The 25,491-nt window shown below is 35.4% G+C and overlaps 1 long non-coding RNA gene across 1 annotated transcript in view; it reads right to left on the bottom strand.

Moving 5' to 3' along the window:
• Window positions 1-12,824: 12,824 nt before the first annotated feature.
• Window positions 12,825-25,491, bottom strand: part of LINC01205 (long intergenic non-protein coding RNA 1205) — an 85,178-nt gene continuing 72,511 nt past the window's right edge. The window contains exon 5 of the long non-coding RNA NR_109841.1: window positions 12,825-13,853. This is a non-coding gene — a long non-coding RNA (long intergenic non-protein coding RNA 1205). The remainder of the gene's footprint in view (window positions 13,854-25,491) is intronic.

Here is a 25,491-nt window from a genome sequence, read left to right as displayed (position 1 = left end):
GATGAGCCAAGAAACTTTATCATTTTAACAGAGAGAAAATCAAACTCTAGTCTTGTGTCAATACATTATTTTCCTAATTAAAAAAGAAAAAAAGCCTGGGCACAGTGGCTCACCCTTGTAATTCCAGCACTTTGGGAAGGCAAGGAGGGCGGAACACCTGAGGTCAGAAGTTCAAGACCAGCCTGGCCAACATGGAGAAACCCTGTCTCTACTAAGAGCACAAAAAAATTATGTAAGCATGGTGGCACACACCTGTAGTCCCAGTTACTTAGGAGGCTGAGGCAGGAGAATCACTTGAACCTGGAAGGGGGAGGCTTGCCGTGAGCTGAAATCACACCACTGCACTCCAGCCTTGGGTGACAGAGGGAGACTCTGTCTCAATAAAAACAAACAAACCAAAGAATCTGGCCAGGCACAATGGCTCACGCTGGTAATCTCAGCAATTTGGGAGGCCAAAGCAGGAGGATCACTTGGGGACCAGGAGTTCAAGGCTGCAATAAGCTATGAAGCTATGATCACGCCACTGCACTCCAGCCTAGGTGACAGAGAGAGACCCTACCTCTGAGGAAAAAAAAAAAAAAAGTCTTACAAATAAAGCCATTTAATCTTAGCCAGTTTTGCCCTCACAAAATTAAATTCCCTTTTTGCAAACTTTCTACAACTTTCTAGATTCATTCAGGTTCTGTCCTACGCTTTCCCTTTTTCTCATTTTACTTTAAGACAAAATTATTCTGCTTTTTTCCTTAACAAAAGCACATTCTACATTCCTTGCATGCTTTTCATATAAAAACACATTGTACTTTACTCCCATACCTTACATACAACATTGTTTTTCTTCAATATTATTGTTTCTAGAAGTTTTATTTTTATTGGTTACAAATTTTAACTATTTTCACTAATGCTCAAAATATTTTCTAGAACTATTTGGTTTATTGTCAAGTCTTTCTTAAACTTTTTTTTTTAGTTTAACAAATAGTTTTATTCTAGTATGAAAGGCATCCAGGTTATCTAGACCTCCATACAACCAGAAGCTAAAATTCCAGATTTCATAAAGTTAAATAAATTTAAATAATATTGAATATTATCATTTATTTACTAGCATTTTTTATTTTTTCATTTGTTTTTTAATTGACATATAATAATTATACATACATGGAGTATGTAGTGATGTTATGATACATACAAAGTATAGTGATCAGATCAGGGTAATCAGTATATACATCATCTCAAACATTTATCATTTATTTGTGTTAAGAATGTTCAATATCCTACTTTAGCTATTTGAAACTATCTAATATATTATTGCTAACTATAGTCATCCTACAGTGTTATAGAGCACTAGAACTTATTTCTCATATTTAGCTGTAAGTTTGTATCCTTTAACAAATCTTCCCCTATCCTTCCCTTCCCCCTTTACTTCCCAGCCTCCAATATGCTCTGTTCTAATTTTTACTTCTATGAGATCGTTTTTTAGCTTCTGTATATGTATAAGAACATCCATCTTGCCACAATGACAGGATTTTATTCTTTTTCATAGCTGATTAGTTCATTAACTATATATATTGCATTTTCTTTATGTATTCATCTGTTGTTGGATACCTAGGTTGATTCTATATCTTGGCTATTGTAAATGGTGCTACAATAAACATGAGAGTGCAGGATTTCCTTTCCTTCAGATAAAGGCCCAGAAGTGAGATTGCTGTAGTTCTATTTAATAGATTCTTGAGGAGCCCCCACACTGCTCTCCATAGTGGCTATACTAGTGTACATTCCCACCAACAGTGTATAAGAGTTTCCTTTTCTCCACATCCTTGCCAGCATTTGTTATTTTTTGTATTTTTGATGATAGCCACCCGAACTGGGATGAGATGATAGCCTATTGTGGTTTGACTCACATTTCTCTGAAGATTAATGTTGAGTATTTTTCGTATGTTTTTGGCCATTCATATGTCTTCTTTTGAGAAATGTCTGTTCAGATCATTTCCCCTTCTTTTAATAGAACTGTGTTTGTGTATGTGTGTGTGTGTGTGTGTGTGTGTGTTGTTTGTTTTTGTTTTGTCTTGTTTTTTTACTGTTGAGAAGTTTGTGTTCTTATATATTCTGGACACTAATCCCTGTTGGATAAATAGTTTGCAAATATTTTTTTCTCATTCAACGAGTTGTCTTTTCACTCTGTTGGTTGTTTCACTTGCTCTGAAGAAGCTTTTCAATTTGATATAATCCTATTTGTTTATTTTTGCTTTTCCAGCCTGTGCTTTTGAGGTCTTATTCACAATATCTTTTCCCAGGCCAACGTCCTGAAGCATTTCCCCTATGTTTTCTACTAGTAGTTTTATAGTTTTTGGTCTTACATTTAGGATTTTGATTCATTTTGAGTTTTCTTTAGGGTGAGAGGTGGGAGTCTAGTTTCCTTCTTCTGCATATGTATATTCAGTTTTCCAAGCAACATTTACTGAAGAAACTGTCTTTTCCCCAACGAGTGTTCTTGGTGCTTCTATCAAAATCAGTTGTAACTTGATCACCTCCGTAAAGAAAAAAAAAAAGGAGAAGGGATTACGGTGGATGGGAGGCAGGACTAGATTGCAGCTCCAACTTGGACAGACAGAGCAGTGTGTGGAGGTTTGCATCACAAATTTTTGCTCCAGAACGACTGTAGGAATAAATCTGAAAACCAGAGAGGACCCTGAAGGAAGCAGATTGCTCCTGCAGGACCCAGGAGACACCCCAAATAATGTGCTGGTATCCACAGATGAGAGATCCACAGATGGTTCACATCACAGGACTCTGGGCAGACAACCCCTGGTACCAGCCTGGAGCTGGGTAGACTTGGTGGGCGGCTAGATCCAGAAGATAGATAACAGTCACTACAGCTCGGCCCACAGGAAGCCACATCCATAGGAAAATGGGGATAATACTAAATCAAGAGAACAACACCCTGTAAGACAAAAGAATCTGAACAACAGCCTTCAGCCCTAGAACTTCCCTCTGACAAAGCCTACCAACTGAGAAGGAACCAGAAAACCAACTCTGGTAATATGACAAAACAAGGTTCTTTAACTCCTCCAAAAAATCATACTAGCTCACCAGCAATTAACCCAAACCAAGAAGAAATCCATGATTTACCTGAAAGAAAAATCAGGAGGTTAGGTATTAAGCTAATCAGGGAGGCATCAGAGAAAGGCGAAGCTCTATGCAAGGAAACCCAAAAAACGATACAAGAAGTGAAGGGAGTAATATTCAAGAAAATAGATAGCATAAATAAAAAACAATCAAAACTTCAGGAAACAACAGACACAATTATAGAAATGCAAAATGCTCTGGAAAGTCTCAGCAATAGCATTGAAGAAGTAGAAGAAAGAAATTCAGAGCTAAAAGACAAGGTCTTCAAATTAACCCAATCCAACAAAGACAAAGAAAAAAGAATAAGAAAATACAAGCAAAGCCTCCAAGAAGTCTGGGATTATGTTAAACGATCAAACTTAAGAATAATCGGTGTTCCTGAGGAAGAATAGAAATCTATAAGTTTGGAAAACATATTTGGGGGAATAACTGAAGAAAATTCCCCAGCCTTGCTAGAGACCTAGACATCCAAATACAAGAGCTCAAAGAACACCTGGGAAATTCATTGCCAGAACATCACCTAGGCACATTGTCTTCAGGTTATCTAAGTTAAGATGAAGGAAAGAATCTTAAAAACTGTGAGACAAAAGTACCAGGTAACTTGTAAAGGAAAAACCTATCAGATTAACAGCAGATTTCTTAGCAGAAACCCTACAAGCTAAAAGGGATTGGGGCCCTATCTTCAGCCTCCTCAAACAAAGCAATTATCAGCCAATAATTTTGTATCCAGTGAAACTAAACTTCATATATAAAGGAAAGATACAGTCTTTTTCAGACAAACAAATGATGAGGGAATTCACCACTACAAAGCCAACGCAACAAGAACTGCGAAAAGGAGCTCTAAATCTTGAAACAAATCCTGGAAATACACCAAAACAGAACCTCTTTAAAGCATAAATTTCACAGGACTTATAAAGCAAAAATACAATTTAAAAAACAAACACGAAAAATGAAAAAACAAGGTATGCAGGCAACAAACAGCACAGTGAAGGGAATGGAACCTTACATCTCAATACTAACATTGAATGTAAATGGCCTAAATGCTCCACTTAAAAGATACAAAATGGCAGAATGGATGAGAATTTACCAACCAACTCTCTGATGCCTTCAAGAGACTCACCTAACACATAAGGACTCACACAAATTTAAAGTAAAGGGATGGAAAAAGACATTTCAGGTAAATGCACAACAAAAACAAGCAGGAGTAACTATTCTTATATCAGAAAAAAACAAACTTTAAAGCAACAGCAGTTAAAAAAGACAAAAAGGGTCATTATTTAAGAATAAAAGGCCTTGCCCAACAGGAAAATATCACAATCCTAAATATATATTCATCTAACACTGGAGCTCCCAAATTTATAAAACAATTACTAATAGACCAAAGAAATGAGATAGATTTCAACACAATAATAGTGGGAAACTTTAATACTCCACTCACAGCACCAGACAGGTCATCAAGACAGGAAGTCAACAAAGAAACAATGGATGTAAACTATACCCTGGAACAAACAGGCTTAATAGCAATATACAGAACATTCCATCCATCAACTGCAGAATATACATTCTATTCAACAGCGCATGGAACTTTCTCCAAGATAGACCATATGATAGGCCACAAAACAGGCCTCAATAAATTCAAAAAAACTGAAATTATAACAAAGCACTCTCTCAGACTACAGTGGAATAAAACTAAAAATCAACTCCAAAAGAAACCTTTAAAACAATGCAAATACATGGAAATTAAATAACCTGCTCCTGAATGATCATTGGGTCTAAAATGAAATCAAGATGAAAATTTAAAAAATCTTTGAATGAAATGACAATTGTAACACAACCTACCATAACCTCTGGGACACAGCAAAGGTGGTGCTAAGAGGAAAGTTCATAGCCCTAAACGCTTATGTCAAAAAGTCCAAAAGAGCACAGACAATCTGAGTTCACACCTTAAGGAACTAGAGAAACAAAACCAAACCAAACCCAAACTCAGCAGAAGAAAGGGAATAACCAAGATCAGAGCAGAACGAATGAAATTGAAACAAAAAAAAATACAAAAGATAAATGAAACAAAAAGTTGGATCTTTGAAAGAACCAATAAAATTGATAGACCATTAGCAAAATTAACCAAGAAAAGAAGACAGAAAATCCAAATAAGCTTAATTAGAAACAAAAAGGGAGATATTACAACACCACAAAAATAAAAAAGATTATTCAAGGCTACTATGAACACCATTATTCACATGAACTAGAAAACCTAGAATAGATGGATAAATTATGGGAAAGCTACAACCCTCCTAGCTGAAACCAGGAAAAATTAGACACCCTGAACAGACCAATACAAGCAGTGAGATTGAAATGGTAATTTTAAAATTACCAACAAAAAAAAGTCCAGGACCAGATGGATTCACAGCAGAATTCTACCAGACATTCAAAGAATTGGTACCAACCCTTTTGACACTATTCCACAAGATAGAGAAAGGGGGAACCCTCCCTAAATCATTCTATGAAGCCAGTATCACCATAATACCAAAATCAGAAAAGGACATAACAAAAAAAGAAAAGTACAGACTGATATCCTTGATGAACATAGATACAAAAAATCTTTAACAAAATACTAGCTAACTGAGCCCAACAACATATCAAAAAAAAAAATCCACAATGATCAAGTGGGTCTCATACCAGGAATGCAAGGATGATTTAACATATGCAAGTCAATAAATGTGATACACCACATCAACAGAATTTAAAACAAAAATAACATAATCACCTCAATAGATCCAGAAAAAGCATTCAAAAAAATCCAGCATCCTTTTATGATTATAACTCTCAGCAAAATTTGCATAGAAGGGACATACCTCAATATAATAAAGCCATCTATGACAAACACACGGCCAACATAATACTGAACAAGGAAAAGTTAAAAGCATTCCACCTGAGAACTGGAACAAGACAAGGATGCCCATTCTCACCACTTCTATTCAACATAGTACTGTAAGTCCTAGCCAGAGCAATCAGACAAGAGAAAGAAATAAAGGGCATCCAAATCAGTAAAGAGGAAGTCAAACTGTTGCTGTTTGTTGACAGTATGATCGTTTATCTTGAAAACCCTAAAGACTCCTCCAGAAAGCTTCTAGAACTGATCAAAGAATTCAGCAAAGTTTCCAGATACAAAATTAATGTACACACACCAGTACCTCTTCTACACACCAACAGCGACCAAGCTGAGAATCAAATCAAGAACTCAACCCCTCTTACAATAGCTGTAAAAAAGAAAACTTCAAAATATACCTAACCAAGGAAGTGAAAGACCTCTACAAAAAAAAACTATAAAACACCGCTGAAATAAATCATAGATGACACAAACAAATGGAAACATATCCCATGCTCATGGATGGGTAGAATCAATATTATGAAAATGACCACACTGCCAAAAGCAACCTACAAATTCAATGCAACTGCCATCACAATACCACCATCATTCTTCACAGAATTTGAAAAAACAATTGTCAAATTCAAATGAAACCAAAAAGAGCCCACATAGCCAAAGAAAGACTAAGCAAAAAGAACAAATCTGGAGGCATCACATTACCTGATTTGAAACTATACTATAAGGCCATAGTCACCAAAACAGCATGGTACTGGTATAAAAATAGGCACATACCAATGGAACAGAATGGAGAACCCAGAAATAAACCCAAATACTTACAGCCAACTGATCTTTGACAAAGCAAACAAAAACATAAAGTGGGGAAAGGACACTATATTCAACAAATGGTGCTGGGATAATTGGCTAGCCACATGTAGGAGAATAAAACTGGAACCTCATCTATTAATTTATGCAAAAATCTACTCAAGATGGATTAAGGACTTAAATCTAAGGTATGAAACTATAAAAATTCTAGAAGATAACATTGGTAAAACTCTTCTAGACACTGGCTTAGGCAAGGATTTCATGACCAAGAACCCAAAGGCAAATGCAATAGAAACAAAGATAAACAGCTGGGACCAAATTAGACTAAAGAGCTTTTGCACGGCAAAAGGAACAGTCAGCAGAGTAAACAGACAACCCACAGAGTGGGAGAAAATCTTCACAATCTATACATCTGACAAAGGACTAATATCCAGAAACGATAGTGAACTCAAACAAATCAGTAAGAAAAAAAAAATCCCATCAAAAAGTGGGCTAAGGACTTGAATAGGCAATTCTCAAAAGAAGATATACAAATGGCCAACAAACATATGAAAAAATGCTCAACATCATTAATGATCAGGGAAATGCAAATCAAAACCACAGTGTGATACCACCTTATTCTTGCAAGAATGGTCATAATCAAAAAATCAAAAAACAGTAGATGCTGGCATGGATGTGGTGAACAGGGAACACTTTACACTGATGATGGGAGTGTAAACCAGTAGAGCCTCTATGGAAAACAGTGTGGAGACTCCTTAAAGAACTAAAAGTAGAACTACCATTTGATCCAGCGACCCCACTACTGGGTATCTACCCAGAGAAAAAGACATCATTATTCAAAAAAGATACTTGCACACACATGTTTATAGCAGCACAATTCACAATTGCAAAATCGTGGAACCAACCCAAATGCCCATCAATCGAGTGGATAAAGCAACTAATTAAGTCCTTGATTAAATAATGATTTTATGATTTACACCTGGAATTCCTATTATCCTCATTAATTAATTGTCCCTTAATTCTTTACTTCTTGATTTTATTTGCAGAAAATGTGAGGTTTTTGAAATAAATTTATAATAAAATGCTGCCTATATTATCCAAATGTGTTTTTATTTTTTAAATATTTGCCTAGAATTGAGTCACATATATTTCTGAAAAAGGCAAGTATTTTCAACAAAGTTTTGGTGTAGTATTTTTAGAAAAATGTTGAAATGTGCACTTCAAAATAACCTCTATTCAATGTATAAAAAAATAATAATTTTCTTTCAAATATAATACTTTAAATGTTTATAAGTTATCGATTAAAAGTGGCATTAGAGTTATAATGTACATATCCAAACTCATCATGATAACTGCTTTTTAAATTTTTTATAAATTCAAACATATCAAATTTTAATGGATTTTGCTTCAATCTATAAATACTAAGCTACATATCAATACATGTTTAAAGTTTGATGTTTTTAAATATCTACTTCCATTTAAAAGTGACATACATAAAGGCTTTGGCTTCTGTATGAGAACATGGTACGAAAAGTTGCTAGAGTCATCTAAGAATCATGAAGGGTCGGCCAGAAGAATCTCAGAGAACTATGTCTGAGTCCTAATGCTGTTAAGTCAGACCTATTTTGGAACAACTTAATTCCAGATTTCTTGTAATGTGATGTAATGCCTATCTTTTGTATTTACTTTGCGTTTTTTTTTTTTAGGATATTTTGAGGTCTGGCAGTGCAATACCTCCAGTTTTGTTCTTTTTGCTCAGGATTGCTTTGCTATTTGAGGTCTTTTGTGTTTCCATAGAAATGTTAGAATGTTTTTTCTATTTTTGTGAAGAATGTCACTGGTATTTTGATAGGGGTTTCATTGAGTCTGTAGATTCTTTTGGGTGGCATTGTCATTTTAATAATACTAATTCTTCAATTCATGAGCATGGAATGTCTTTGCATTTGTTTGTATCCTCTTTAATTTCTTTCATCAGTGTTTTATAGTTTTCCTTGTAGAGGTTTTTCACCACCTTGGTTAAATTTATTCTTAGGTGGTTTTATTTTTTGTAGCTGTTGTAAGTGGGATTGCCGTCTTGATTTTCAACTAGTTCATTGTTCATGCATAGAAACCCTACTGATGTTATTAATTTATTTTTTAATTGACAGGTATTTGTATGTATTCACAGGATACACAATGTTGTTTTGATACATATAGTGTGTAGTGATCAGATCAATGTAATTAACATTCATTATCTCAAATATTTAACATTACTTTGTGTTGGGATACTTCACTGTTAATTTTGGTATTTTGTCACTTGCAACGAATATCATTCTTAAATGATATAATAACCTTGTAATGTTTTCTTGGAATGCAATACTTGCTCTACTGATTCAAAAATTGGTTAAAAGAAAAAAATATTGGGGAGGCAGTGGTTAATAAAACTCAAAAAATATTGAGGAGGAAGTGGTTAATAAAACTCAATATATATTCTTTCAAAAAAAATTCTTAGCAAATACAGGCATAGACTGGACACAGTGGCTCATGCCTGTAATCCCAGCACTTTGGGAGGCTGAGGCGAGCAGATCACTTGAGGCCAGGAGTTCGAGACCAGCCTGGCCAATAAGGCAAAACCCCGTCTCTACTAAAAATACAAAAATTTGCCGGGCATGATGGCACATGCCTGTAATCCCAGCTACTCGGGAGACTGAGGCACGTGAATGGCTTGAACTCAGGAGGCAGAGGTTGCAGTAAGCCAAGATTGTGCCACTGCACTTCAGCCTGGGCAACAGAGAGAAACTCTGTCTCAAAAAACAAACAACAAAAAAAGGCATACTTTGTTTTACTGTACTTCACTTTATATTTTACAGATAATTGTGTTTTTTACCAATTGAAGGTTTCTGGTAACCCCATGTCCAACAAGTCTAACAGCACCATGTTTTTTAACAGCATGTGCTCATTTTGTAACTGTCACATTTTGGTAATTCCTACAATATTTTAAACTGTTTCATTATTATATTCATTCTGATTATCTGTAATCAGTAATCTTTGATGTTACTATTGTAATTGTTTTGGGGTGCCATGAACCAGGCCCATATGAGATGGTGAACTTAATTGATAAGCGTTGATTATGTTCTGACTGCTCCACCGACCAACCATTCCCCCGTCTCTCTCCCTTTCCTCAGGCTTCTGTATTCCCTGAGAGACAATAACATTATAATTAGGCTAATTAATAATCCTACAATCGTTTCTGAGTGTCAAAATGAAAGGAAAAGTTGTATATGTCTCTCTTTAAGTCAAAAGAGAAATGATTAAGCTTACTGAGGAAGGCATGTTGAAAGCTGAGATATGCTACAAGCTAGGCCCCTTGTGTCAAACAGTGATCCAAGTAATAAATGCAAAGGAAAACTTAAAGAAAATTAAAAGTGCTTCTCCAGTGAACACACAAATGATAAGAAAGTGAAACAGCCTTATTGCTGATATGGAGAAAGTTTTAGTGGTCTAGATAGAAGATCAAACCAACCACAACATTCCCTTAAGCCAAAGCCTAATCCAGAGCAGGGCTCTAAATTTCTTCAATTCTATGAAAGCTGAGAGAAGTGAGGAAGCTGCCAGAGAAAAGTTTGAAGCTAGCAGAAGTTAGTTCATGAAGTTTAAGAAAAGAAGCCATCTATGTATACCACAAAAGTGCAAGGTGAAGTAGCAAATGCTGATGTAGAATCTACAGCAAGTTATCTAGAAAATCTTGCTAAAATAATTGCTGAAACTGGCTACACTAAACAACAGATTTTCTATGTAGATAAAACAGCCTTCTATTGGAAGAAAACACCATTTAGGACTTTCATGGTTAGAATGAAGCAGTCAATGCCCGCTTTCAAAACTTTAAAGGACAGGCTGATTCTCTTGTTAGAGGTTAATGAAGCTGGTGACTTCAAGTTGAAACCAATGTTCATTTACCATTCTAAAAATCCTAAAGCCATTGGCCGGGCACAGTGGCTCATGCCTGTAATCCCAGCACTTTGGGAGGCAGAGGCAGGAGGATCACAGGGTCAGGAGATCGAGACCATCTGGCTAACATGGTGAAACCCAATCTCTACTAAAAATAGAAAAAATTAGCCAGGCATGGTCGTGGGCACCTGTAGTCCCAGCTACTCAGGAGGCTGAGGCATGAGAATGGCGTGAACCCGGGAGGCGGAGTTTGCAGTGAGCTGAGATCGTGCCACTGCACTCCAGCCTGGGTGACAGAGCAAGACTCCGTCTCAAAAAAAAAAAAAAAAACCTAAAGCCATTAAGAATTATGCTAAATGTACTCTACCTGTGTTCTATGAATGGAATAACAAAACCTAGATGACACCATATCTGTTTACATCATGGTTTACTGAATATTTTAAGCCCATTGTTGAGACCTACTGCTCATTAAAAAAAGATTACTTTTAAAATATTAAGGTTAATTGACAATGCACCTAGCCACTAAAGAGCTCTGATAGTGATGTACAAGAAGATTAATGTTTTTATGCTTGCTCACACCACATCTATTCTTCAGCCCATGGATCAAGGGGTAATTTTTGCTTTCCAGTTTTATTATTTAAGAAATATATTTCTTAAGGCTATAGCTGCCATAAATAGTGATTCCTCCAATGGACCTGTGCAAAATAAGTTGAGAATTTTTTAGAAAGGATTCATAATTCTAGATGCCATTAAAAACATTCATGATTCATGGAAGAGGTCAAAATGTCAACATTAACAGGAGTTTGGAAGTTGATTCCAACCCTCATGAATGACTTTGTGAGGTTTAAGACTTCAATAGAGGAAATAACTACACATTGGGTAGCGATAGCAAGAGAAATAGAATTGGAAGTGGACCCTAAAGATGTAACTGAATTGCTGCAATATCATGATAAAGCCTGAACAGATGAAGACTTGCTTCTAAGAAAGTGGCTTCTTGAGACAGAATCAATTCCTGGCGAAAATTCAGTGAACATTGTTAAAATGACAACAAAATATTTAGAATATTACATAAACTTAGTTGATAAAGTAATGGCAGGGTTTGAGAGGATTGACACTAATTTTGAAAAAGGTTCAACTGCATGTAAAATAGTATTCAACAGCATCTCAAATCTTTCATGAAAGGAAGAATAAATAGATGGAGAAAACTTTATTTTCTATTTTAAGACACTACCACAGCCACCACAACCTTTGGCAATCACCATCCTGATCAGTCAACAGCCATCAACATCAAGGTAAGAGCCTCCACTAGGAAAAAGATTACAACCTGCTGAAGGCTCAGGTGATCAGTAGCATTTTTTAGCAATAAAGTTTTTTATATGGTATGTATATATTTTTAAACATATGTATATTGCACACTTAATAGACTACAGTATAGTGTAAACTTAACTTTTATATGTACTGGGAAACCAAAAAAATAGTGTGACTTGCTTTATTGAAATTTATCTTTATTTGGTGGTGATGAACTGAGCCTGCAATATCTTCAAAATATGCTTGTATGAATAAAAAGAAACTTCTTTAAAGGTATCTTCTAGAAGAATTATATTTAATGAAAGATTAGAACTATTCTTGTTTGAGTTGAACAACATAGAAATGCCCACTGTCACTGGTACTCACATCATTATATTACAGATTCTAGCCACTACAGTTACACACACATGTGCACCCACTCATATACAATAATTGAGGTATAAATACTAGAAATAAATAGACCAGATTCTAATTATTTTCAGATGATTTGACAAAATCAAATACTCAAAAAATCTGGAATAACTGCTATGAGATTGCACAAGCACAGGTCCTGCTAACTTAAATACTACATGTTTGACACATATTTTCTTTTTCACTCCAAAACATATATTGTGTACCATGTGTTAGTTATTATGCTAAATTTTGGAGATTCAAGTTAAGCAACATAGCACAGTCTTTGACATTTATGAAATTGTGTCTACTGTGAGAGACAAACATTAATCGAATGTTTACGCTGACATAAATCACAGTGTGATAAATCTTTTTTTTTTTTTTTTTTTTTGAAAATTTGACTCTGGATGAGAATCTCAGTCTGTCGCCCAGGCTGGAGTGTGGTGGCGTGATCTCAGCTCACTGCAACCTCTGCCGCCCAGGGTTCAAGCAATTCTCCTGCTTCAGCCTCCCGAGTAGGTGGGATTACAGGCACCTGCCACTGCCCCTGGCTAGTTTTTGTAGTTTTAGTAGAGACAGGGTTTCAACATCTTGGCCAGGCTGGTCTTGAACTCCTGACCTTGTGCTTCACCTGCCTCGGCCTCCCAAAGTGCTGGGATTACAGCCATGAGCCACCACATCAAGCCAATAAATCCTCTTAATGGAATAAATAGCAACCTATGGGGGAATCCAACTTAATCTGAGGAACTGAAAAAAAAAATACATTTAAAGAATGATGAGAAGTTAATTAGATGAGACAGAGAAAGCCGGGGAAAATGTTTCCAAAAGAAAAATAGCAAATACAGCAGCACTCAGAGTGGGCATAGGCCATTACAGAAACTGAAAGATGGTTAGTGTTGTTGAGAGACATTTCTCCATAAGAGGTATTATGGATGACTTGAATCAACTCTTTTACTGGACTATCTTTCCAAAATATTTATATAGCAAACAACCTTAGAAGATACATAGTTTCTCTCTGTGGGGCAAAGTGCAGATCTGTTTCCCTGCGCAGAACAATAAAGATAACATCTTCTCCAGGGCAAAGTTTGGACAAGTTTGCTAGCAGCCTACTTTTTAGAACAGCTCCTAAGCTGAAACACAGATTCACTGTGTGCACAGCATCCACCCGAGTCTTCCTCCGCATCATCCTCATGGCACTTGAGGGTCAAGAGAACCATGTGAACATTAATCTCCCTCTTGTACCATGCATAGTAATATTCTTTGTCTCTGACCCAGGGGTTTTGTGTCTTCTGGCAACATCTTTGAAACTGTGGCAGCTACATTGTTAGATTTCAAGTAGCATAAAACCTTTTCCCCTCTGGAGTTTGTGACAAGTAGGAACACAGCAAAGACAGCTTGGGAGAGAATTCAAAATATGAATCTGGAAAAGAAAGCAGGATTTTATGAGACATGGTCAGAAGTAATATTGCAAATATTGAACAACCATTCTAACACAGGCACTAACCAATGTGAATGAACTCAAGACAATTGGATGAGCCATTAACAAGCCAATATGGTTTCAGAGCTTCATACCAGCTGAATATCACACATAGCCTGGGATATTTTATCTTAAGAAAACTACAAAATCATCATAAAACGTTTAGCCAGGGAGTGGTACTAGCAGATCTGGGTTTTTTTAGATGATTATTCTGATGATAACTAAATGTAACTTGTGAACATGGATACATGTCTGAACCAGAGAAAAAAATTATTGTACGATTATGATATTAGTGGGGAAATCTGAAAATGTGATCAAAATTTATAGATTATATAATAGTTTTATACTGGTAATTTTTTGATGCTGACCACTGTACTTTAGCCATGTAAAAAAATTACTTATTTTAAATAAATACACACTGAAGTATTTCAATATAAAGAAATATCATGTTTCCAGTTTACTCTCAAACAGTTCAAAATATATAACTATAAAGAGAGAAAAAAGGAAAGATGGAAGGAAGGGAAAGGGGAAGGAAGAAAGAGAGAAAGGAAACAAGAGAGAGTGATAAATGTGGTAAAATGTTAACATTTGGGAAATCTATATAAAGAGTATATGGAATTTATTTTTGAAACTTATGTAAATCTAAAATTATTTCAAAAAAACTTAAAAAGTACTATGTTGGCAATATGGAAAATGGTTTAAAGGAGGTCACATATAAAGTGAGCAAAACATATTTTTAATTAATAAATTTATCTAATTTTTATATAACAAAGCACATTATCACTTGATCTAGTTGACTTCTACCTTACCACTATAAAATGCAATGCAGTTATCTAATTTTAGTCTTTTATTATTCATTCTATAATAATATAAATTTATATTATTATATTATTCTATAATAATTTTTAGCAATTTTCCAGCCTTATATCTAAAAGTTGTAAAGGTTTTTCTTGCACTTATCAATTTTCACTGAAGAGTATTGTCCTAAATTTTATATTTCTGAAAATTTTTTCCACTGTGCTATTTTAATTTTCTTGGTCTTCTCTCTATAAAGCTATGGTTCTTTTATTTCTCATTCATGACCCAACCCAATTTCCACACTTCGTGACCATCTCATCTACTTCTCCACTGCTTTGTGCAACTCTGAAATTAACTAACTTTATATGTTGTTAGCTTGCCCAGCATAGAACCATCTGCAGACTTAATGAACAATCTCTCCATTCCATCACTGGAGAAGATGCTAATTAATTATTAAATTATAAGGTAGGGTATGAAAAATCAATTTCTCTCTCTCTCTTTCTGTTTCTCTCTTTCTCTCTCTCTCTCTCTCACACACACATACACAGACACACAAACACAGAGGCAAAAATACAGGTACAGACAAGCTAATTTTAAATTCTGGGAAGGTTAGATGACAGGAGAATCTCAATAAAAAGTCTGACTAATTTTTGAATGCTTTTGTGTTATGCTATTTGTCATTAGTCCACTGACCAAAATAAAACGTTTTAGGATCTCCTGCCTCTATAGGAGAGTCTCATACTTAATCAACAAAAAAAAATGCCATCTGTCATCTATTTGCAGCTAGACTGTACCATGTTGAAAACTGGGTGAGTTGTGTAAGGTCAGAGACAAGAGAGTGTTCTGCTGGATTTTTTGGGATCTTGGTGGAGGCTGCAGATATACTGGAGGGGCCTGGGTTGTCCGCTCACTTTCAATATAACCCAGGACACTTAAGCTTGGGTGAACTTCTTCTTAGAAAAAAAAACTGAACTCTCAGCTTCATTTTATTTTTCTCCTATGAAAATAGTATTATCTAAAGGACATGTAGTTAAAAGGAACCAAAAATGAGGCTCTGTAGTCCAGAAGTCTAGGGTTCCTGTTTCTTCCCCAGTCCCTGGGAATCATTTATATATTGACAGGATGCACTCACCCTTGAGTAACAAGTCAACCCTGAGGATACTAGGAAAATCAAAGCAGAGAGAATTAGACAGAGGCCAAATGTATCTTTAGAAAGGCATTTAAAGTAATCAGATAATAGTAGCATCTGCAGTTTCAATCACAAAATCAATTCATGTTTGATTTGATGACATTATGGCAGCAGTTATCAGTGTTATCAGTGAAACAAATTCTACACTCTGAGGAACAGAGGCAGGAAATGATACATCACCAAGCTCAGCACAACAAGAAGTACAATTAAAATTAATGTAATATTTGGGTCACTCCATGTACTGCATAGAGATAGGGGGATAAATTGGGAGACCTTTCACTCTACCCTTCCGCCCTACCATTTCTGTTTCTGTGGAACAGGTGGCTTCTCAGAAACAAACCTGACTTGATGCATTAAAATTTGACCTCTAGCTAACATCAATCTCTCTGGTGTCAGGCCCATGTCCAAAGGTAATACTGAAGAAAAGTTAATACAGGAGAGGCTCAGGTGTCCACTGTTATGTAAGTGGCTACTTCTAATAGACTATTAGATTATCTGTGGATGAAAAAAAATGTCACCATCTGACAGCCTTTGGGCATTTAGTAAAATAATAAATAACTAGCAAGAAAAAAAGTCTTTTTCATGCCAAGAGGAGAACAGCTGGGTGTCTCTGATCTACCTGTATTCGTTGGATATTTCAGCCAATTTCTTGTACCTAACCAGACAGAATGGGGAACTTTTGAAGCAGAAAACCTCCTGATATAATCATTTTTTAAAAAAATAGTGGTCCAGAAAGTAAAAATTATTTTATATATCATCTTACTTTTGGATCTTGTTATTACCAGTGACAGGGTATGAGTACTTCCCTAAGCTGCTGAGCTTTCCCATCCCGATGCTGTCCCATGGACACCTGTTAGCCATAGGTAGAAGAATCATTGTCTAGAATTGTTTCTCTTGCTCCACTCTAACACTGCATTAACCACTGACTCTCTGGCTTTCTAGTCTTTTCTGCTTGAACCAAAGAGGAAATTGAGTTCCAGATACCAGCAACCTAGCTTTCATAAGGGCTATCATCTCTTCTTTGAATTTGTATCAGGGACTGATAGGGAAAGTCACAGGCACTCACCATTCCTAACCTATCTTGTCAGTGTGTCAGTGTCGAGGCACATGTGTGCAGAAAACCCTGCTAGTGCCCAGTAAACAGGGATTTCCTATTTATACATTCATTAAACAATTATAGGCTGGGCGCAGCGGCTCACACCTGTAATCCCAGCACTTCGGGAGGTTGAGGCGGATGGATCACTTGAAGTCAGGAATTTGAGACCAGCCTGGCCAACATACTGAAACCCCATCTCTACTAAAAATACAAAAATTAGCTGAGCCTGGTGGCACGTGCCTGTAGTCCCAGCTCCTTGGGAGGCCTAGGCAGGAGGATCTCTTGAACCCAGGAGGCAGAGGTTGCAGTGAGCTGAGATCACACCACTGGACTCCAGCCTGGGCGACAGAGCAAGTCTCTGCCAAAAGAAAAACAATTACAAACCAATTTTTAAGTTGCAGAACATTGATCTCTGTTCTCAAGAAAATTATCATTCATCAAAGGAGTTCTCTAATTCTTCCTGTTTAAATCCTCTTTCACTTTGACTTTTGTTTTTGGTTTTTCTCCATTTGTTGCTGAAGTGTTTCAAATTTCCAATCTTACAGACTTAGTGCCTCTAAGCTGAGCAGTCCAGCCAACAGGCTACTCTTTATTAGTGTCAACCATGTCCTCAGAGACTCTCTTTCCAACCGCTCTTCAGCACCCACTTTTGCACTTCGGGCAGATTGTCCACTAACCTGGATGAGGTGTTGTAACTCAGAGGCAGATGTGAATCTAGAATGCATGACACCTTGATGGGTGCAGATTGAGAATATATAGAAAGTCAATTAGAGAAATCATGCCAAGGACTGTGCAAATCACATTCCAACTATATTTCATTTAGTTTCCACAACAATGCTATGAAGTAGATAAAGACCATTAGTCTTAAGATGAAGAAAACTGAAGCTTAGAGAAAGTAACTTCCCCCAACTCACATAGTTAAGAGATAAATCAGATTTCCAGATCTAAACTATACCTTCTTCCTACCTCACTAAATTGTTAGCTTGCTCCATAGGATTGGGAATATTTCCCTTTGATAGTTAGGTCATAAGTTTAAACCTGTTTTCTGGAAGATTTTTCTGATTAACTGAGAACCACTAACTACAGCATTTAATCTCAATTCCAGAGCAAGTCACTCCTCCCTAAGTGCAAGAGTCAAACATTCATCAATTTGATAATTTGATCCTTCTCATTAGACTGTAAGTCCCTTGAGAAGAAAGCTGATATATATTTAAACTAAAACAACTTTCGCGGCCTTCAAACGAAGCACAGTCCAGGATAGATGATTCAATGAATATCAAGAATGTCAGCTTCTCAAGCAGACTACTGTGTACATGTGCTCCTGTTAGGCATAGAGACTATGTTTTCATGTTGGTTTCCACGATGATTTAGATAAATATGTCTTAATTTTTAATTGCTCTATAATTGGCAGTGAATTCCTAATTCTTTAATTTTCTCTGCCTTGGTTTCTTTATAAAGTAGTTAATTATGTGTAAAATAAGCAGATGTACTTTTACAGCTGGCTTCTGGAAGTAACCCTTTGACAGATCTTTTCAGTAAGCTAAAGATCACTCATGAAAAACTCCCCCAACTTCTTTTTGCATATAAATTTTTATTTTTTTTATAGACTAGGGTGCTCCTATAGTCTAGATAAATGAAGTTCCCAGAAAAAATCACTTATCTTGTGAGCACAGAACTCGGTAGAAAACGAAAAAAGTGCAAAGCTTGAATTTCCACAAAGTCTAAGAACAAACACTTTGGAAAATTAAATTCTGTTTACTAGGCATTTCCACTCAAATGGCAGGTTGTGGTGCTAGAAAAGTTACACAAAAAATTATATCTACTTGATACAGTTGGTTTAGAAAGCAAGTTCAATATGAAGGGAAAATGCTACGACACATTGACAACAGCAAAGGATATGTCTTATGTGCCAGAGAAGTATGAGAAAAAATATTATTATCATGGAAGGTAATAACCAAAAAACTACTTTTCTTCATTTAAAGCTGTCAAAATGGATGGAATGGGAAGAGATTTTGGAGTTTAATCTCCTTTTTTCCTCCCTAAATGAAACACCAAACCTGTTAAAGTAAAAGCCTAATTTACTGGAGTATATTTTAGTCTTATGCAACTTTCAGAAAATTGAAACAGCATTTTTCACCCCAGTTTCCGGCAGTGTACCTCATTGAGCTGTTTCTCTCTCTTTTGCTGTGCTGCAGCAAAAGTATTTAATGTATTGACATTTACATTTTGATTGTAAGTCTGACAAGCAGCTTTATACTGAGAGCTCAACTGGTTTTTGTTGTTGTTGTTTCTAGCTTCCAATATTATTAAACTTTGGGCTGGGAGTACTGGCTCACACCTGCAATCCCAGCACTTTGAGAGGCCGAGGTGGGTGGGTCACTTGAGGTCAGGAGTTCGAGACCAGCCTGGCCAATATGGTGAAACCCCATCGCTACTAAAAATAGAAAAATTAGCCAGACATGCTGGCGCATGGCTGTAATCCCAGCTACTCGGGAAGCTGAGGCAGAAGAATCACTTGAACCAAGGAGGCGGAGGTTGCATTGAGCTGAGACCACACCACTGCACTCCAGTCTGGGCAACAGAATGAGACTCTGTCTCAAAAAAAAACTCTTTGCCTGTCAGTGTGCTTCAAAAAAACACATTTTGTCAGTTTTGTTAGTACACCACTTAATGTTACACAGAGTAAATCTAAAGGATGGATACTCTTTCTGACTTCGTATTTGAAAATACATAATTTTAAGAAAAAAATATGTCTAACAATATTCTGATCATCTTTGGCAAAGGAAAAAAAACAATCCAGGAACTTGATTTTTTTTTAATGTTCTGGTTTGTCCCTGGTCTTTACAGAACCATTTCACCAGACATTTGCTTCCACCACCAAAGAAAACAAATGGAAATAAATGTATACCAAATCTCATGGCTTCATCTTAGCTTCCCATCTGGAAATCTTTCTGAATTCTACCTCTAATCAGCCACTTCATCCCAAACTCAAATTTTACTACTTTAAAGTTTGTTTTATAATAAAATACTCTAAAATATCAGCCTTAGACATTTTCTGTGAAATCATTTGTAAATAGCGATATTTTTTTCAGAAAACATAATAATTATAGTAAATAGAACAGAGTGAAGATATACATGTGTATATACAGCCACATACACACAGACATATGCAGATACACATATACACAAAAAGCTTTAAACTCTCACCCCTGCAAGCTTAACCCTTCAGGTATCCCAAAACAGAAAAAAAAAAAGTTGGACATAAACAAAATGGAACATTGTAGGTAAGTAATTAGGCAATGAGTAAGTGGCCATTCTCAATCTTGCATTCAATAGCTAATTATATATATTACTTCACTGCTACAACTTGGGTTATACACTTGTAAACTATGGCTGATTACTTTATTGAAAGCTATATTTATAAAGAAAGTTGAGATCCTAGGATGAAATAGGCTGACATAAGCTACCAAATGTTATTAGTGGACTTCCTCATTACCAAAATCCATTTCCAAATACTCTACCATCCCCAAGGATTCATGTTCTGTTTCTCCATAGTATTATTAAACTAGGGGGCTCATCAGTTTACAACAGTAGCTATGGATGAGACTCTTAAACTTGATGGTGTATTCTGGCTTCATTTATTTTTATTTTTTACCCTATATACTACATTCAACGATTTTCTTTCCTCCAATTTCAAATCATTATCTGTGGATCAAGATTACATGTCTTGACTTTTTTCATCAAGGGCTATTTCTTCTCCAAAATATGTGCTGTCAATTGCAACAAAAACAAAAATTGAGTGGGACCTAATTAAACTAATGAGCTTCTGCACAGCAAAAGAAACCACGGACAGAGCAGACAACCCACAGAATGGGAGAAGATATTTTCAAACTATGCATCTGACAAAGGCCTAATAGCCAGAATCTATAGGGAACTTAAGCAATTCAACAAGCAAAAAAACAAACAACCCCATTAAAAAATGGGTAAAAGACATGAACAGACAATTCTCAAAAGAAGACATACAAGCAGCCAACAAACATAATGAAAAAATGCTCCACATCACTAATCATCAGAGAAATGCTAATCAAAACTACAACGAGACACCATCTCACACCAGTCAGAAAGGCTATTATTAAAAAATCAAAAAACAACATATGCTGGCGAGGCTATAGTGAAAAGGGAACACTTACACACTGTTGGTGGGAATAAAAACTAGTTCAGCCACCATTCCAGAAAGCAGTTTGGAGATCTCTCAAAGAACTTAAAACAGAACTACATTTTGACCTAACAATCCCATTACTAGTTATATGTACAAGAGAAAATAAATTATTCTACCAAAAAGACATGCACTCATATGTTCATTGCAATGCTATTCACAATAGCAAAGATATGGAATCAACCTAGGTGTCCCCTCAGTGATGGATTAGATAATCACCAACAAGGCACATGTATACATATGTAACAAACCTGCACGTTGTGCACATGTACCCTAGAACTTAAGGTATAATAATAAAAATAAAAATGAAGAAAGAAAATTAAGGGAGCAGAATGATACAATGTCAGCAGGCAATAATAAATGATGTCAATAGAAAAAAAAAGAAATTCAAAGACAGACATACACAAATACAAGTACATGTAAAACTGGACAAATCTGAATAAACTCTGTAAATTAAAAAAAAAGAAGAAAATGTTCTACATATATACCATGGAATACTACACAGTCATAAAAAAGAACAAAATCATGTCCTTTGGAGCAACATGGGTGAACTTGGAGGCCACAATCCTAAGCAAATTAACACAGGAATAGAAAACCAAATGCCACATGTTCTCACTTGTAAGTGGGAGCTAAATAGTGAGCATACATAAACATAAGCATGGGAATAGACACTGTGGACTACTAGAGGGAAGAAGTAGGAGGGGGATGTGTGTTGAAAATCTACCTATTGGGTACTATGCTCACTACCTGGGCACGATATAACCCATGTAACAAGCCTTCACATGTACCTACTATCTAAAATAGAAGTTGAATTTTTAAAATAAAATAAAAACAGCAAAAACACACACACACACACACACAACTGCTAAGATTGTTTTTTACTTGCATTTGATTTGCTAATGAAGCAAACTAGACTGGCAAAGAGGAGATAAACTTATTAATTCAAGGTTGTTTGGAGATTTTCTTTTTCTTATAAAATTTAGCCAGTTCCTATTAAAATGTAAATAATTCAAAATTAACTCTAAAATAATTTGAAACTGTAAAAAGGAAAAAAGGGAAAGTAAAAGAGACTAAAGAGACTGTTTTTTAAAAAATCAAACTGCCATGGAAACTTCTTTACCCAAAATTTTTGTCCATAGCCTTCATTAGGTTACCTATCAGGGCAAAAAACATTTAGCCATATGAATACTTCCCAGTTTTGTCAGAAACATAATGTGGATCCAACTGTATTTTATAAACTAGTAAGTTTGTGTGATTACTTCATGAATTAGATTCTAAAATGAAAGCTATAAGGTCTGTATTTTGGTGTATGTGTATATATATGTGTGTATATGTATACATATATGCTTGGATGTATTTATGCGTATGTACATGTATTACATTATATGTTGTGTCTACATGGTAAAACCTGATATACAGTCAACCAGAAATTCCTCAAAGATAAATGAGTACTCATATAAAATAAGAAATGTATAGTAATAAATCTAAATACCTTTTAATTTACAAGACTTAAGTAAATCATTAATACATAAGGTGGTTTGAAAATTGTTGGTAAAATAAAAATAAAATATGTCTTCAAAAAAAAAGAAAAAAATGTGGCACACATACACCATAGAATACTATTCAGCCCAGTCAAGTAATCAGAATGCTTTTTGTAAAAGAACAAAGAGAATAAGAAGTTTCATTAGCAGTAGTAAAGGTAAAAATACCTAATACAGTCTAGAAACACGCCCATGGAAACACCAGTATTAAGCAATTCCTTCCACATGTTAAAAATGGGGTTAACTCACAGAAATCACAGAGTAAGTACTTATTTGTACCAAAGGCAGTAAAAGATATTGCTTTTACCAATCTTTACATGACATTCACAGAAAAACGTGGGTTCCATGATCTTTAGAACTCAATTCTCATAGCCTAATTCTCCAGAACTCAGCCTTAAACCGGACACTAAATTTTAAGCAAAAGAAAGGCCAAAGATGAATCCAAACAAGGAAGAGAAGCAAGAGGCAGGTGACTGGTGCACAGGAATGGGCTCTGGAAGGAGCAGGGATCAGGTAACAAGGATTTTTTTTTTTTTAATGGGTTCATTTCAGCCATCATCTCCTCACTAACTGAGGTATAGCTCAGCTTGTAAGATTCCCAGTCTACAAAGCACAAAATAGAAATATAGTTGGTAGGATAACTTGGTTGCTGGATAATTTGTTCTTACATGTGGTTTCCAAAAGAGATGTATTAAATAGCAAGATAAATACTAACCAATTTTCAAACTGCTGCTCTTTCATTTAGTATAGATTTCAATGTCACTCTGTATAATGAAGTGTAAGACTAATTAATAAACTACAGTGGGATCCATTTGATAATATTTATTTTCTCTCAATAAATACTCCATTAGAATTACTCCATCATATCAGAAATTCCTCCATATTCCAATTAAGGCATATTAGCTATGCATGAATTAACACTGGCATAATAAATGCCAAATAAATTAATAACTATCGACCACTAATTATATGAAGAGACAGTAGAAAAATTGCAAAAGATTAAAATACAATTTGGAAAGAGGCAGTGGCAGTTCCCACCTTGTTTATTCAACCATGAAGAGCTGGGCTGTTGTTTTTATTCCTATTTTTTAAATTCCCATAAATTTATATCGCCCAAATATTCAACAGCTCATCATCATTTAGTAGTCTTTTGTTTCTTCTCTACGTGATTTTTCTTTATCCTTGTTGAAATTGAAGTTTGAGATATAGCTGAAGTTATGAAGACATAACCCTTCAAAAATATTTTTAAAATATTACATGTCTAAGACTACAAATAACTTCCCCAGCAATGATTATTTACCACTGTATTTGTCACAAACGGCATTAAAAACAAAATCTACCTAGGAAGGTTGTCTTAATAGAACAGTCCTGGGGGTGAGTAGAGACTATACAATAAACATTTGAATATCAAATAAAGTTTCATGACAAATAGTATATACATTTTATGCTTTGGAAGTCAATTAATTTTGCACTTAAGATTCCCAACATGAGCTTCAAAGGCTATTTTGCTCTTGGCTGGATACAATCTCCACACATACAAAGTCCCATGCAACACCCTAAAATATGTTTGTCCAAGGAATGGCTTATATTTAATTTCACTTTACCCTTTAAGCATGCACATTTCAAGATATATCATTTTATTGGAAAAAAACTTACCAATTGTAAGAATATGAATTTGTTTAAGCAGCCACACTGGGTATGACTTTATATAAAAATTAGCATAAATCAACAGATCCAATGTTTTTAAGATCCAATCTCCTCAATCCCCAATTTCATTTGTAATAAAGCTACTACCATCCTTTTAAAGTTGCAATTATTGCTATAAGATATATACTTATTGATTAGTCTTGATAATTAAGGAGCAATTAACCACCTACAGGACACTTACGAAGTTGATCTTGTTCACAAAGAGTTTTTAAATTTGTTTTTGCAATGGGCTGCACAAAACAAGACAGGTGTACAAATATGTGCAACAAAAATAGGGTCACTATCAGGAATATATAAAACTTCACTAGCCTTATCCAAAGTAACCTAGTATCTTTTAGCACTATTAGCAAAATATTAGTTCATTTAATACCTACACATATATTTTATGGTAAATACGAATGTTCACTTTTTTCTTCTCAGGTGCAACGTTCATGAATCTAGTGACAGAATTTTGAAAGAGCCACACACAGTTTTCCATGGATAACTGCGAATTTTGGAATATAAAGCATACCTTTTAAGAGAGGAGGAAAGGAATATTAGATTGGAATGAGACATTAGAGGGGTTTCTGGGTGCTTATTAATTTTTTATTGATAGCTGGTTATAAATGTATTAGTTTGTGGTAATTTATTGAGCTATATGCATATGATTTGTGTACTTTTCTCTATTATAACTGATACCTGCTTCATGGATATGTAGTGTGGTTGTTACTACAATTTACCTAAATGCAGTTTTCCATTCACATTGCTTTTTTCTTTTTACCTTGTCAGAGATAGGACAAGGTTGGATTTTAATTGAGTCTATATTTGTTCCCTTGTGCACTTGTCCTCTTCAACTGCCAGGCAGTCTAGCTCTGGCAATAGGCTCTGGACAGTGAGGAGTTTTGTAGCAGGAGGATTTGGGGGTAAAAGACATTTTTGTATTTCATCAAAAGTTCATCCTCGGGACAAACTCAGTGGGGATGTTCAGTTTGTAAATTTTTGCTCTTTGTATAAGTTAACAAATGGTGACACATAATGTTACATGCTGGTAGATA

This window comes from Homo sapiens, chromosome 3 (genome assembly GCF_000001405.40).
Source record: "Homo sapiens chromosome 3, GRCh38.p14 Primary Assembly".
Classification (NCBI taxonomy): domain Eukaryota; kingdom Metazoa; phylum Chordata; class Mammalia; order Primates; family Hominidae; genus Homo; species Homo sapiens.
This window is presented reverse-complemented; position numbering and strand designations above follow the sequence as displayed.